The sequence below is a fragment of the Homo sapiens genome, chromosome 8, assembly GCF_000001405.40.
Source record: "Homo sapiens chromosome 8, GRCh38.p14 Primary Assembly".
NCBI classification, from domain to species: Eukaryota; Metazoa; Chordata; class Mammalia; order Primates; family Hominidae; genus Homo; species Homo sapiens.
In genome coordinates this window covers 116,309,290-116,325,465 of record NC_000008.11, presented here as the reverse complement: position 1 = coordinate 116,325,465, position 16,176 = coordinate 116,309,290, and the positions used below count along the sequence as shown (strand labels likewise).

Below are 16,176 nucleotides of genomic sequence, written 5' to 3'. Positions count from 1 at the left end.
CTCAGCGTTTCATCTTCTGCCCTCTCTTGCCTCCAAGTTTCAGAATTCTCCGTCTTCTTTCTTCCTTTTATCTTTCTCCCATCTTCCTTTTCCCTTTCCTCCATTTTGCTTTTCACTGTCACTGAAGTCAGAGCAGAGCCAGAGTGTTATGACAATAGGCTAGAAAGAGAGAAGAGAGATACACCGGTGTTTTTATTCCAACTCTATATCTTTTTTCACTCTCCCTTCCAGCAAGTGTTGAATGTTAACTATGGAAAAGACACACATACACACACACACACACACACACACACACACACACACACATGCACAGCCTTATTCTGTGCCAGAGCAGAACTCTGAAAATTGCTGCCAAGTGGCCGTCACCCAAGAGACCATAGAATTCCTGGCACCAGGCAGAATCTGTGGCTGTGGCCAAGTGATTGTTGCTGAACTTACCTGTGTCGAAAGGTCAGCCTTCCAGTGCTAAGGCTGGGCACAGGCGCTAAGGCAAATTGGATTGTGAATGGAGGCCCTGAGGCATGTTCTGCACTTTGCAACTGGTCTGGCAGGCTCCACTCCTCCACCTTCTAAGTCTGCCACAGGCATGGGAAACACCTGGGCAGCGACAAAGGTGGTTAAGGCAGCTTCGCCAAGGTACAGTATCAACCGCCTTTGCTTTGCACACAAAATGTACGGTAATGACCACATTCTTAGCAGGCGATTTTCCAATACAGTGTCTTGATGAAAAAGCCCTAAATCTTTACATGAGACGTTGGCTTCAATACTGCCGCACTAAAATCACATGTTATTTGAGTAGATATTTTACCCATTTGTAACTCAAATATAAATTTTACCAACTTGAGAAACTATTAACGAATCAGAGCACAGCTTAGAAACTGTTTTGTGTGCATACTTCTCAGTGTGTATGTACCTGTGGATTATGGGTGGATTCACAGATTAAAAGAAGAATCATGGATTATCAAAAGGGATACATACAACCAAAGTTATTTAACCATTGACCATTTTTGTCCCTGTTTCTCCAAATGGAAAATGGATAAAAGAAAAAAATCCTATTTAATTTACAAGTCAGAGGAATGAGTGAGAGAAAAACTTCTTCAGGAATAAAATAGAAGCCATCAGATTGGAACTCCTTCAATGTCCTGTGATTGATTCAGTGGCCAGGATTGATTCAGTGGCCAGGTCCCCATCCTCTTCTCCTTCCCACTTGCTACTGTGAATGATAAATCCATCCTCTTCATTGTATCATCAAAGCCTAATGTCGCCACCATTCTTCTAGATCACCTATCTTTTTACCTCTCCTGGAATTGTATTCTATTGTGCTCTTCTTATTCACGTAACTTCAACATGCTTCTTCTCTTAAGTATTTAAATGTGAGTGAGTTTTTCTGAACTTCCAGGAAAACCTCCCTTCATTCTACAGCACCTTCCAACTCACTTTTGTCTTTCACTGCCAAACTCATTTGAGTGTCATGTACACTTACAATCTCTCCTTGGTTCCCTCTCATTCTTTTCTCAGAACACTGAAATCTGGTGTCCACTGTTACCATCCCACTGAAATTGCTTGTGTTAACCAGCAATTCTACTTGCTCTTATGAATGATTTCCATGACTCTCAGCCCAGCAGGGCACTTTGAATTTTTTGCTTATTTAATCATTCAGCATCACTTGGTCCTGATGACTATTCGTACTATTTGAGGCATTTCCTTTCTTGGATTGTGTGACACCACACTTGCAAGCATGTTTTCTGCTTCTCTGGACCTTTTTTCTTGGTCTTTGTTGCATATGTAATAGAAAGGTCACTCAGGTGGATTCTCAAAGATCTAGTATAATTATTGTAATCTATTTTTCATAAGAGGGTTAATGTGATTATCAGTTAAGATCTTTGGGGTGCTAGTAAACTTTTGATGCTGAATTTCAAGTCAGTTTATTATCATCATTAATTTATAGTAGTCTATGGACCTAGGAGGACCTACTGTTTGACTCCAAGCCTATTCTTGTTTCTCCCTACACCCCCCAGGAAATTCTGACTGCTTTCTCAGCAGTATTGTTTTTGTCTAATGTGATTCCTCATGGAACAGTCACAGGATCACATCTAATTTCATTTTAAAGTCATTGTAACAGGCTCAGTATGAAATATTAATGTTATTTTTAGTTTACATTTATTGAACACCTGCTATGTGCCAAGCATGTGACATTTTGAATTATCTCAAGTTTGTTCTGGTAAAAGATGGAATATAGAAACAGTAATTCACTATTCTAGTCCTTAGAACAAGTCTGGTAGAGTTATATATTCTTATCTTTCACTAGCACATTATCAAAGGTGGGATTCACTACCTTAATAATATCCTAAAACCGTGTTCTTTCTACTGTGCATACTTACATTCTTTGCTATAAAGAGCTTCACATTTTAAGATTGTTTAAATAATTAACTCACATAAACAATGGCTAAATAGTGGCTTCTTATTTGGTCCTTTCTATCCCAAATCATGATTTTAAATTTCTAGAGATGAAGTCAACATTAAAATCCTCAGACTCCAATTAAAAAAAATCTATTCAGGACTTCTGAGTTACCAGAAATATTTCCAAGATTTCTTTTCTGAATTTCTTTCTCCCATATTGGTTATTGGTTTTTGAGTTTGGCATGTCTTGGTACACACTGCCTATTACATCACTAAAATGTACTGCAAAAAGACAGCACACACTGATTGTTCTCCCCGGGGGCTGGCACAGTAATGAGATAGCAAGGACTCATGTGAAGAAGCTACAAGAGAAGAATAGGGAAAATTCACTTGGCTATTAGGCAACTAAGTGACTGGAGGTGGGGAGTGATTTTACCCCCCCAGGAATATTTGACAATGTCTGGAGATATTTGGTTGTTATAACCTGGGGAGTGGATACAGCCACTGGCAACAAGTAAGTAGAAGCCAGGGATACTGCCAAACACTGTAAAATACACAGAGCGACTCTAGCCTTCCTTTCCCCAGACAAAGAATTTTCAGACTCAAAATATCCATAAAGCAGAAGTTGAGAACCTCTGCTGTAGAGAAAGAGGAAAAAGGAAAAGGAAGGGTGACTTTGCAATTCTGTGTCTCTGTGATTCCAGACATGGAGATTTTTATTGAGAACAATTAGGAGCCCAGAAGTTTCTCTGAATTATTGGATAAGGGGATGAATCATTTCAACCAGCTTGAGCTTGAGGTTAATGGGAGAGACACAGCTGGCAGAACCAGTAGGCAGAAACGCTGTTAAACTAAAGCAAGTGCAAAAGGAAATGTGAATATAGAACTAATTCACCTTGGGGTGATAGTTGAGACCACAAAAGTGGTTGAAATGTTCAAGGACATGTGGGAAAAGAAGAGCAAAGGCATTTTACTGGTACTCTGGAAACATAAATCCTTCGCATAAATAGTGTGAATTTTTAAGTGATATACTGTAGGAATTATCCTGTTAAGCCCATCTGTTTCAACACAAGGAATCAAGATTTGAATACCAATCTTTCTAAAATAAAGGTTCCTGGACAGATTTAATTTTACTTGTATTAACAGTTTGCTTCTTTTATCTCAATACCACTATCTTCTATTTGAAGCAGAGGTTATCAAGTTTAGTATTTATTTTTGCTTAAGATTTCCATATAAAGATTATAAGGTGTCGATGGCAAGAGGGATTGAAGACACTTTAGCTGCAAAATCATGACCAGAAAAAAAGGGTATCTATAGAGAGCATGTAGTCTGGGCTTATTTTAAGTTTGTCTGCTTTCTGGGTTGGTTAAAAAGCACTTAATAGGTTCAGTTTATAATTGCTAAACATGGAAACATTGAAACACCACACCCTTATGTGACTTATAATAAATAGTGTCTTCAGCACAAATACATTTTATCAAAGCACCTAGAGACAGCCAGCCACACTGATCACATTATTAACCAATCACCTTCTAGCCCAGATTTACTTTGTAGAAGTTGTGGAGTAGGGAGTCCTCAGTCAAGCAACTTGCAACTGAATTATTTTAATGACCCAGCTGATGATCACTCCATTGCATCCCTTCCTCCCTCCAAAGCAAGACTCATAATTATATTAAGAAGTTCTTATTTATGGATGCTTGTAACTTTATCTGATCCTAGAAAACTAGTAGTTTGTTTGGAAATGTTGCTACTGAAAAATCTGGTGTGGGCAGAGAGTACACCCACTGGTTCTGCAGAAAAATGAGTTGGCATCAACTGGGTCTCTCCAAGGTCTTCAGGCACAGTGAGGTTTGGAGTTTCACAGATTGGGGGAACCGGTTGGATTCCTCTTAGCTCCCTTATAAAAATTTCTTCACTTTATTACTTGTTTATTGTGAGTATTCATGGCTTCATCTGCTCCATCTTTTAATAATATTTAGAGCTTTGTTAGCCATGGCCTTAAAAATAGTTTTAACCTTATTATTCAAATAGATGTCTCATAATGCTGAATAATGCATGACCACACATGCTAAGAATAAACTAGATAGTACCGTGAAATCTTCCACCCACGTTAATGGAAATGTATGGAATGCAAAACTGGAACCCAGCTGCAATGTTTTCTGCAGGGATGGCTCTTCATGTTGGTAGAGGAAGCCACCTACTCATAATTCATTAGAGGGGTCCGAAATGTTTGTGTGGAAATTTCTCCCTCAGGCCTGCCGTTGCATTTGAGATTCTCACCATTACAGTGAATTCTTTGCCTAAGACATCATTTCAGTAAGAGCATATTTAAAGTGCATAGAAACATCCTGCAAGGGTAGGAACACTCAACTGAAGTTTATTTTTATTTTAGCACAGATAAGGTTGTCTTTTTTTTCTAATTTTATCACTCTTTCTTAGAAAGTAGAGCTCTGAAAAAGTAGGAGTTGGGGAAATATTTTACCAAGATATGGAATCAGAAACGTTCAGGCATAATGGGCATTGCTAGTGGGGCCCATTGTGATGGTGGTAGATGGACGAGGGGGAAGAGAGTTGCTGTTGGTTCAAGGGTACTACATGAGGAAGCATGCCTTAGGGACACTGCCTTTAGAGACGTATCCTTGAAGACATTAATGTGAGTCATTTCTAATAATAGCAACATGAATGATAATATCAATAACAACAACTTCAAGTATTCTCCACTGGGTGTTAGGACCTAAGCTACATGTTTAACATTCATTATCTAATTTTCACAACAACTACAGATGAACAAGTTCAAAAAGGTAAAACCTACTTAAGTGTGAAGTTAGGTGGTGGAATTGGGATTTGAAATCAGGTTGATCTGATTCCAAATTCATGATACTAACCATTATTCATATTGTGTCTTTACTGTTTCTCCCGCTTAGCACATCTCCTTATCATCTCTTCAAATTTATGCTTCAGCTGTGTGTTCTATTCCCTGCCTAGGGTATCTTAATCCTCTTTTATATCTGCTAGAATATTTTTGTTTTTTGATGACCAGGCTACGTGGCAAAATATCACCTCCTTAAAAATTTTTCTTTAATGTGTGATTGATTGCATTAATTATTGTTATTATTATTTTTATCAACTCTGATTTTAAGTTCCATGGTACATGCACAGGATGTGCAGGTTTGTTACATAGGTAAACAAATGTCACGGTGGTTTGCTGCACAGATCAACCCATCACCCAGGTATTAAGCACAGGACCCATTAGCTGTTCTTCCTGATGCTCTCCCTTCCCCCGCCCCTGTGGACAGGCCCCAGTGTGTGTTGCTCTCCCCCATGTGTCCATGTGTTCTCGTTGTTCAGATCTGACTTATAAGTGAGAACATACGGTATTTGGTTTTCTGTTCCTGCACATTAATTTGCTGAGGATAACAGCTTGCAACTCCATCCATGTCCCTGCAGAGGGCATGATCTTGTTCCCTTTTATGGCTGCATAGTCTTCCAGGGTGTATGTGTACCACATTTTCTTTATCCAGTCTACTGTTGATGAACATTTGGGTTTATTCCATGTCTTTGCTATTGTGAAATGTGCTGCAATAAACATATGTGTGCATGTATCTTTATAATAGAATGATTTATATTCCTCTGGGTATATACCCAGTAATAGGTTTGCTGGATCAAATGGTATTTCTGCTTCTAGATTTTTGAGGCATTGCCACGCTGTCTTCCACAATGGTTGAACTAATTTACATAACCACCAACAGTGTAAAAGCGTTTCTTTTCTTTTTCACTGCAACCTTGCCAGCATCTGTTGTTTCTTGACTTTTTAATAATTGCCATTCTGACTGTCATGAGATGGTATCTCGTTGTGGCTTTAATTTGCATTGCTCTAATGGTAAGTGGTGTTGAGCTTTTTTTCATATTTGTTGGCCACATGAATGTCTTCTTTTGAGAAGTGTCTGTTCATGTCCTTTGCCCACTTTTTAATGGGGTTGTTTATTTTATTCTTGTAAATTTGTTTAAGTTCCTTGTAAATTCTGGATATTAGACCTTTGTCAGATGGACAGATTGCAAAAATGTTCTCCCATTTTGTAGAGTGTTTGTTCACTCTGATGATAGTTTATTTTGCTGTGCAGCAGCTTTTTAGTTTAATTAGATCTCATTGTCAATTTTTGCTTTTGTTGCAATTGCTTTTAGTGGTTTCATCATTAAATCTTTGCCTGTGCCTATGTCCTGAATGGTATTATCCGGATTTTCTTCTAGGGTTTTTATAGTTTGGGGTTTTACAAATAAGTCCTAATCCATCTTGAGTTAATTTTTGTATAAGGTGTAAGGAAGGGGTCCAGTTTCAATTTTCTGCATATGGCTGGCCAGTTCTCCCAGCACCACTTATTAAATAGGGAATCTTTTCCCTATTGCTTGTTTTTGTCAGATTTGTTGAAAATCAGACGGTTGTACCTGTGTGGTCTTATTTCTGAGTTCTCTATTCTATTCTATTGGTCTTTGTTCTGTTTTTGTACCACTACCATTACTGTAGCCTTGTAGTATAGTTTGAAGTTGGGTAGTGGCTTTCTTCTTTTGCTTAGGATTGTCTCGGCTATACGGTCTCCAGCTTTGTTCTTTTTGCTTAGGATTGTCTTGGTTATCTGTGCTCTTTTGATTCCATAAGGATTTTAAAATAGTTTTTTCTAATTCTGTGGAGAATGTCAATGGTAGTTTAATGGGAATAGCATTGAATCTATAAATTGCTTGGGGCAGTAGGGTCATTTTCACAATATTGATTCTTCCATGAGCATGGAATGTTTTTCCATTTGTTTGTGTCCTCTCTGATTTCATTGAGCAGTGGTTTGTAGTTCTCCTTGAAGAGGTCCTTCACTTCCCTTATTAGCTGTATTCCTGGGTATTTTATTCTCTTTGTAGCAACTGTGAATGGAAGTTCATTCATGATTTGGTTCTCTTCTTGTCTGTTGTAGGTGTATAGGAATGCTTGTGATTTTTGCACATTGATTTTATATCTTGTGATTTTGCTGAAGTTTCTTATTAGGTTAAGAAGCTTTTGGGATGAGATGATGTGGTTTTCTAGATATAGGATCATGTCATCTGCAAACAAAGACAATTTGACTTCCTGTCTTCCTATTAGAATATGCTTTATTTTTTTCTCTTGTCTGATTGCCTTGGCCAGGACTTCCAATACTATGTTGAATAGGAGTAGTGAGAGAGGGCATCCGTGTCTTGTGCCATTTTTCAAAGACAATGCTTCTAGCTTTTGCCCATTCAGTATGATACTGGCTGTGGGTTTGTCATAAATGGCTCCTATTATTTTGAGGCGTATTTCTTCAATACCTAGTTTATTGAGAGTTTTTAACATGAAGGGATGTTGAATTTTATCAAAGGCCTTTTCTGTATCTATTGCGATGATCATGTGGCTTTTGTCTTTAGTTCTGTTTATGTGATACATTATGTTTATTGATTTGCATATGTTGAACCAGCCTTGCATCCTGAGGATGAAGACTACTTGACTGTAGTGGATAACCTTTTTGATGTGCTGCTGGATTTGGTTTGCCAGTATCTGGTATTTGGTTGCACAGCTCTGTGCTTCAGACCCAAGGCCCTGGTGGCATGGGCTTGCAAGAAGATCTCCTGCTCCATGAGTTGCAAGGATCTGTGGGAGAAGTGTGGTTTCCCCAGGTTGGGTCATAAAATTACTCACCTCCTCCCTTAGCTGGGGGTAGGGGTTCTCCTGGTTCTGTGCTGCTCGTAGATGGGCTGTCACCCCACTCTGCTTTTCCTGACTCTCCATGTGCTGTGTTGACTGCCTAGTCAGTCCCAAAGTGAGAACCTGGATACCTCAGCTGAAGATGTAGAATTTACTCATCATTTTTTTTCTTCTCTGTGAGCGCTTCAGACTGCAGCTGCTTCCAATGGGCCATCTTGGCCTACCAAAGCTATTGCATTTATTATTACAACTAACTGGGGACACATTACTTTGTTCCCTGCCAGACTATTGAGATGGTTGAGACAGAAAAGAATCCTTTTTTTTAAAAATAACGTTTGTAGCCCAGAGCCTAACTTTATCATTTGAACATACTAAACAATCAATAGGCATTTGTTGAATGAATAAATTTGGTTATAAGTGTCCTATAAAAATGCGGAATAAGCAACCTTTATCCTAAATTTACCAAAAAATGATTAAATGATGTCCACAGGAATCTGTTGTAGAAGGCAGGAAATGTACATAACACTTTTAGAAATATTTGCTTTTTTTATTAACTAAGATTTTCATTCATTATCCACACAATTTTTATCCAACTCACTAATTTTATTGTGAATGGATAGTTGAATTATATTGTATGTTCCCAAGTGATGTAAAGATGGAAAAAATTATATACAGTAATGTGCTACATAATGTTTTGGTTGACAACAGACTGCATATATGACAGTGGTCCTGTAAGTTTTTAAAACTGTATTTTTACTGTGCCTTTCCTGTGTTCAGATACACAAATATTTAGTATTGTGTTAAATTGCCTACGGTATTCAGGACAGTAGCATGCTGTACAGGTTTGTAGCTGAGGAGCTGATATCATTTGGCTGTGTCTCCACCCAAATCTCATCTTGAATTGTAGTTCACATAATCCCCACCTGTAGTGGGAGGGACCCAGTGGGAGGTAGTAATTTAATTATGGGGGCTGTTACCTCCTTGCTGTTCTGGTGATAGTGAGTTCTCATGAGATCTGATGGTGTTGTAAGGGGCTACCTCCTTCACTGGGCACTCATTCATCCCCTTTCTTCTGCCATGTGAAGAAGGATGTGTTTGCTTCCCCTTCTGCCATGATTATAAGTTTCCTGAGGCCTCCCCAGCCCTGTGGAACCATGAGTCAATTAAACCTCTTTCCTTTATAAATTACCCAGTCTTGGGTATATCTTTATTTGCAGTGTGAGAACAGACTAATACAGTAAATTGGTACCAGGAGAGGGGTACTGCTGTAAAGATACCCAAATATGTGGAAGTGACTTTGGAACTGGCTAAGAGGCAGAGATTGGAACCATTTGGAGGGCTCAGAAGAAGATAGAAAACTGTGGGAAGATTTAGAATTTCCTAGAGACTTGTTGAATAGCTTTGTCCAAAATGGCAATGGTAATATGGACAATATTAGGTCCAGGTTGACGTGGTCTCAGATGCAGATGGGGAACTTCTTGGGAACTGGAGTAAAAGTCACTCTATCTATGCAAAGAGACTGGCAGCATTTTGCTCCTGCCCTAGAGATTTGTGGAACTTTGAACTTGAGAGAGATTATCTGAAACTGGAACTTATATTTAAAAGGGAAGCAGAGCATACAAGTTTGAAAATTTTGCAGCCTGATGATGCAGTAGAAAAGAAAAACCCATTTTCTGGGGAGAAATTTAAGCCAGCTGCAGGAATTTGCATAAGCAACAAGGAGCCAAATGCTAATTGCCAAGACGATGAAGAATATGTCTCTAGGGCATGTCAGAGACCTTCAGAGCAGCCCCTCCCATCACAAGCCTGGCCTAGGAGGAAAAAATGGTTTCCTTGGCTGGTTCCAGGCTGCCCCTGCTGTGTGCAGCCTAGGGACTTGGTGCCCTGTGTCTCAGCCACTCCAGCCGTGACTAAAAGGGGCAAAGGTACAACTCAGGCCATGGCTTCAGAGGGTGCAAGCCACAAGCATTGGCAGCTTCCACACGGTGTTGGTCCTGTGGGTGTGCAGAAGACAAGAATTAAGGTTTGGGAGCCTCTGCCTAGATTTCAGAGGATGTATGGAAACGCCTGGATGTCCAGGCAGAGGTGTGCTGCAGAGGCAGAAGCCTCATGGAGAGCCTCTGCTGGGGCAGTGTAGAAGGGAAATGTGAGACTGGAGCCCCCACACAGAGTCTCCACTGAGGCACTGCCTAGTAGAGCTGTGAGAAGAGGGCCACCATCCTCCAGACACCAGAATGGTAGATCCACTGACAGCTTACACCATGCACCTGGAAAAGCCACAGACGCTTCACGCCAGCTAGTGAAAGCAGCTGGGAGGGAGGCTGTATCCTGCAAAGCCACATGTGTGGAGCTGCCCAAGGCCGTACATACACCTCTTGTATCAGTGTGACCTGGGAGACATGGAGTCAAAGGAGATCGTTTAGGAACTCTAAGATTTAATGACTGCCCTATTGGATTTTGGACTTGCATGGGCCTCTAGCCCCTTTGTTTTGGCCAATTTATCCCATTTGGAATGGTGTACTCCCATTGTATCTAGGAAGTAACTAACTTGCTTTTGATTTTACAGGCTTCTAGTGGAAGGGACTTGCCTTGTCTCAGATGAGACTTTGGACTTGGACTTTTGAGTTAATGCTGGAATGAGTTAAGACTCTGGGGGACTGTTGGGAAGGCATAATTATGTTTTGAAATGTGAGGAGGTAAGATTTAGGAGGGGGTCACAGGCAGAATTATATGGTTTGGCTGTGTCCCCACCCAAATCTCATCTCGAATTGTTGTTCCCATAATCCCCACATGTAGTGGGAGGGACTTGGTAGGAGGTAATTGAACATGGCGGTGGTTACCTTCATGCTGTCCTCATGATAGTGAGTGAGTTCTCACGAGATCTGATGATTTTATAAGGGGCTTTTCCTCCTTTTGCTCGGCACTTCTCTTCGCTTCTATCAAAAAAGAAGAACGTGTTTGATTCCCCTTCTGCCATGATTTTAAGTTTCCTGAGGCCTCCCCAGCCATGCTGAACTGTGAGTCAATGAATTTATAATTTCCTTTATAATTATAAAGGAAATTTATAATTTCCTTTATAAATTACCCAGTCTGGATATGTCTTTATCAGCAGCATGAGAATGGACTAATACAGGAGCAATAGGCTATACCATACGGCCTAGGTTTGTAGCAGGGTATACAATACAGGTTTGTATAAGTACACCCTATGATGTTTGCACAATGACAAAATTGCCTAACGACTCATTTCTCAGAATGCATTCCTGTTGTTAAGCAATGCCTGACTGTGTACACACACACACACACACACACACACATACACACATATATTCTGATTACACCTTTGAGGATCTGTAATTATGAAACCTTTGCCAAAGGGGAACATACTATAATGCAAACCTATAAGAATGAGGAAAATAAAACGCTTGCCAATTTATTATCTGAGGAATCTATGAATAAATAATATGAATGCATATAAAAAGATACAAATATGTATCCTACAGTTAGCAAAACACCTTATACGTAACTTTATGGGAGACATATAGAGGTGCTGTAAGTGTGGGAAACACATCACACGTGATCCTAGAAACATAATGTGTAACATCAGCGAAACAAGTGGTTGCTTTTTGTGGTCCTGGGAACTCAGAGATATGTGTGTATTTCTTCATTTGTAAGTTTTCCTTTGAATGCTTTAATAGTACTGAGCTCTTTAAAAAATAAAAACAAGATAAATATATTCTTCCACCTATTTATACATTTTAAGACAAAAATTATGCCTGTTTTACGTATTTCAAAATCAAATATAAATTGCAAATGGAAATAGTTCCGAAATGGAGAAAATTTTATCCGAGAGTCATCTTGTCTTTACAGTTAAAAATCTAAAATGGGGTCTGTGGGATGAGTTTTAATAATTCTGCTAAGTCAAATCAGCCAAACTGAGAGAGAGAGAGAGAGAGAGAGAGAGAGAGAGAGAGAGAGAGAGAGAGTGTCTGTGAGTATGTCTCATTTTACTCTTTCTTAAGAGCCAGAAGTGTTGATAGCACAATGAGAAGCTTAGGATAGAAACACAGTCTGCATTAATGTGCAGACTGTTCTCTGGTTTTAGGCTAAACATTAACAGTCCATGCATTCATTCATTACATACACAATAATGAAGAAGAAACCAGTAGTCAGGCATATAACCAGGCTATGGATGCAGTTATGAATGTGCTATAAAGTTAGCTGTGAGGACTGTATAGTCTGAGGCATAGGAATAATTGTAAACCAAAAAATGTCACAAATATTCTAAGAAGTGTTCTGTAGGCACATCTGGTGCATTTTTAACCTTGGATCCCAGATGAATGTTCTACTGGAAACATTTTCTCAGGAAGATCCACTCAGTACTAATTGTTGTATGTTGTATCAGTGGTCTCCAACTTTTTGGCACCAGGGATGGGTTTTGTGGAAGACAATGGTCGTGGTGGGTGGGGGTTGTTTCAGGACAAAACTGTTCCATCTCAGATCATCAGTCATTAGATTCTCATAAGTTGCATGCAACTTAGATCCCTTGCATGTGCACATTACAAGAGGGTTCATGCTCCTATAGAATCTAATGCCACTGCTGATCTGACAGGAGGTGGAGCTCAGGCAGTAATGCTCACTCACCTGCCACTCAACTCCTGCTGTGTGGCCTGGTTCCTAACAGACCATGGACTGGTACTGGTCTGCAGCCCAGGAGTTGGGGATCCCTCTGTTATTTGATTATTTGCTGATTGTGTGAAAATTCTTTTTGTTAAAAGCAAGTGGCACCAGCAATTAACCTGATCTCAATGGTCACCATCAACAGTCATGGCATGGGGCCTTCCTAAATGATTTCTAAGTCATTTGAAGAACCTTGTATTTCTGATCCAGATGTTAGACCAGTAGAGACCACCAGATAACATAAGAAACAGGCTCCAGTTCTCATTTTATCTGAAGATAAAACATGTAAAGATCCTAGTTTTGCACCATTGTATGCACAGAGAGGAATGATTTGTCCCTTTCACTCTGTTTATCTGCTCTAATTTATGGGGCACTATTGTGTAATGATTATGCAGACAGCCTTAAAGCTGGACTTTCCATGTTCAGCACTTAGATCCACCATTTACTTGCTGCATGGCTTCAGGCAAGTTATTTAACCAGAGTCCATCTTCTCAACTGTAAATGTAAAATAAAAACTGAGAATAAGATTATTGTGTGGATTTAATTAATTGATGCATGCAAAGTAATTAGAGCAGTGCCTGGTACGTAGGAGTGCTCTTATTACATTACCAAGTTTTTATGGCACTTGTTTCTGCTGGGCCCAAAGAAGACAACAGACTCCTTAATATAGCACTCTGTACACCACTGCCACTTGGTTGGATTTGGCATGTGAGGTGACATTAATTTGTCATCTTCATTCTATATAGATATAAAAGATCTTTAGTTTTTACTATTATGAACCTGCAGAAATGTCCTCTGAAAATTCAGCTCTAAGCAGTTTTGTAGGACATTGCTCTTATTAATCTGTCTACTGTTCCTTTATTGGAAGGCACCTCATAACTCAAGAGTAGTATCCCTCTTGAACTCATTTGCTTTTTAACAGAGACTTATTGAAAGTATACATGGTTTCATAATCTTTAGGTAAAATTTTCTGATGGTGACTTTCCAGGCATCAGGATAAATAATGAGGGAGCTTGGATCTCCCAGGATGAGCTGAGACACTCACCAGAGATATAGTAGACCTGGGTCAGTTGCATCCCCTGGTTATTTGCAGGAGCAAATCTTTCCTGCAGAAAAGTTTCCCTGGTTCCCAATGAGGTACAGGAATTATACAATTAAGATGAAGAAATGAGCTCACAATCAAAGATCTTCAAATGTATGAGGCAGCCACTCTGATTTAGATTTCTTGAACTGATGGATAACATATTTAGGCTCCTAAGATACTTGAGTTTTTCAGACATAGTGTAGACATATAGTATATTATGTAGAGTATTATATGTACCAACTCTATATGTAACAAAGATGTTAAAATGCAAAGAGTTTGCTAATCAACAAAAATTTGTTAGAAAAAACACATTAAAATGAAAAGTGAAAAATTCTAAATATAAAAAACATTGTTGAAATCATAAAAAATAAAACCCAAAAGATTGTTAAGTAGCTTATTAGATCAAGGCTAGAATGAAAAAGTCTGACATAGAGAATGGAAGAGTAGTGATAATGGATGTGAATTCTCCAGAACTGATGAAAAAAACCCATAAATCCTCAGATTTTGAACCCATAATGTATCCTAAGCAGAATAAATAAAAACGAAATTCATGCCTAGACACATTTTTCTGAGATTACAGAATGTTGAAGAAGAAGGAAAAAAAACAACTTGAAAGCAACCAGAAAAAAAGAGCAATTAAACTAAAACAGGAAGTCAAATGACAGCATCCTTGTCAACAGCGGTAACAGAAGTAAAAAGACAATGGAATACTGTCTTCAAAGAGTTGAGAGGAAACAATAACTCTCAGCTTAATTTTATACTTAGCACAACTGTCATCCATGAGTGAGGGCAAAATTAAGATATTTTCAGAAAAATTAAAGTTAAAACTAAATTTACTACCAAAGTCCACCAAAACCATGGTTTGCAGAAAACTTTAAAGTAGGGCTTCCCAAATGTTTTGGTCTTCAGCCCTTTTCATGCACTTCAAAATTATTGAGGGGCCTAAAGAACTTTTGTTTATGTGAGTTGTAGCTATCAATATTTACTATATGAAGTTTTATTTATTTATGTATTTTTTATTTATTGTTTATCTTTTTGAGACAGGGTCTCTCTCTGTCACCCAGACTGGAGTGCAGTGGCGTGATCATAGCTCACTGCAGCCTTGACCTCCCTGGGCTCAGGTGATCCTTCCCCTCAGCCTCCTGATTAGCTGAGACTACAGGTGCATGCCACCACATTTGGCTAATTTTTGTATTTTCATGGGCAGAGATGGGGTTTCACTACATTGCCCAGGCTGGTCTTGAACTCCTGGGCTCTAGTGATATACCTGTGTTGGCCTCTCAAAGTGTTAGGATTACAGGCATAAGCCACCGCACCCGGCCTACATATAAAGTTTTAAAACTGAGAAATTAAAAATAATATTTATCAATTCATTTAAAATAATAGTAAACCTATTATGTGTTAATTTAAATGCAACATTTTTATGAAAATTATATATTTTTTAAAAATAGTGAGAATGACATAGTTTTACATTTTAATAAAATAGCTTTAATTTCTGTCTTAGTAGTAGACAGTGTAATTCACATATCTTGTTTACACTCAATCTCTTTTGATATCCTATGCCATGCACTTCTGGAAGACTTCATGAAGAGAGTAAGAAGGGAAAAGGCAGATAATTTTTTGTGTTCTTATGAAAATGGTTTTGACCTCACGGATCCATTGGTAAGGTCTCAAGCACCCGCAAGTTCTCTGTATCACACTTTGGGAACTTCCGTGTCTACCATATGCTCTGCAGGAAAAAGGAACATGATCCTAGAAGGAGATGTGATAGATAAGAAGTAACGCTAATAAGAATAAAGTGGCAAACATATGTAAAACTTCAAATAAATATTCAAAAATATAAGAATGATGTTTAATTGGGAGAGTGCATATAAGCATGAATGATGTGTGTTTAGAATAAGGAACAGATAGTAGTAATAATAACAACAGATGTTATTTATTGAAAACTACAATGTGCCAGGTATTATGTTAAGCACCATCATTTAATCCTGACACTAACCTTGCAACATAGCTACTCTTATTATCATCCTTTTGTAGTTGAGAAAATCAAAACCCAGAAAAATAAAGTAGCTCATCTATGGTAACAAAGCCAGAAAATGAAAGGGCTAAATGTGATTCTAAATCTTGCAGTCTGACTCTAGAGACTTCAGTGGAATACAATAATGTCTAAAGTTAGAAAAATATTAATAGAAATGTAGTGGTTTAACTTTGCTAAGAGGATAAATTCATATTTAACAGGTGCCTATTATGTGCTTAGTTTAATACTAGACACTATAGAGTATTTTAAAAGTCCCCATTCTAATGAAGTTTACAG

General features: G+C 38.6%; 1 long non-coding RNA gene across 1 annotated transcript in view; it reads left to right on the top strand.

Moving 5' to 3' along the window:
* The first annotated feature begins 406 nt into the window (after positions 1–406).
* Positions 407–16,176, top strand: part of LINC00536 (long intergenic non-protein coding RNA 536) — a 374,549-nt gene continuing 358,779 nt past the window's right edge. Inside the window, exon 1 of the long non-coding RNA NR_046215.1 lies at positions 407–636. This is a non-coding gene — a long non-coding RNA (long intergenic non-protein coding RNA 536). The remainder of the gene's footprint in view (positions 637–16,176) is intronic.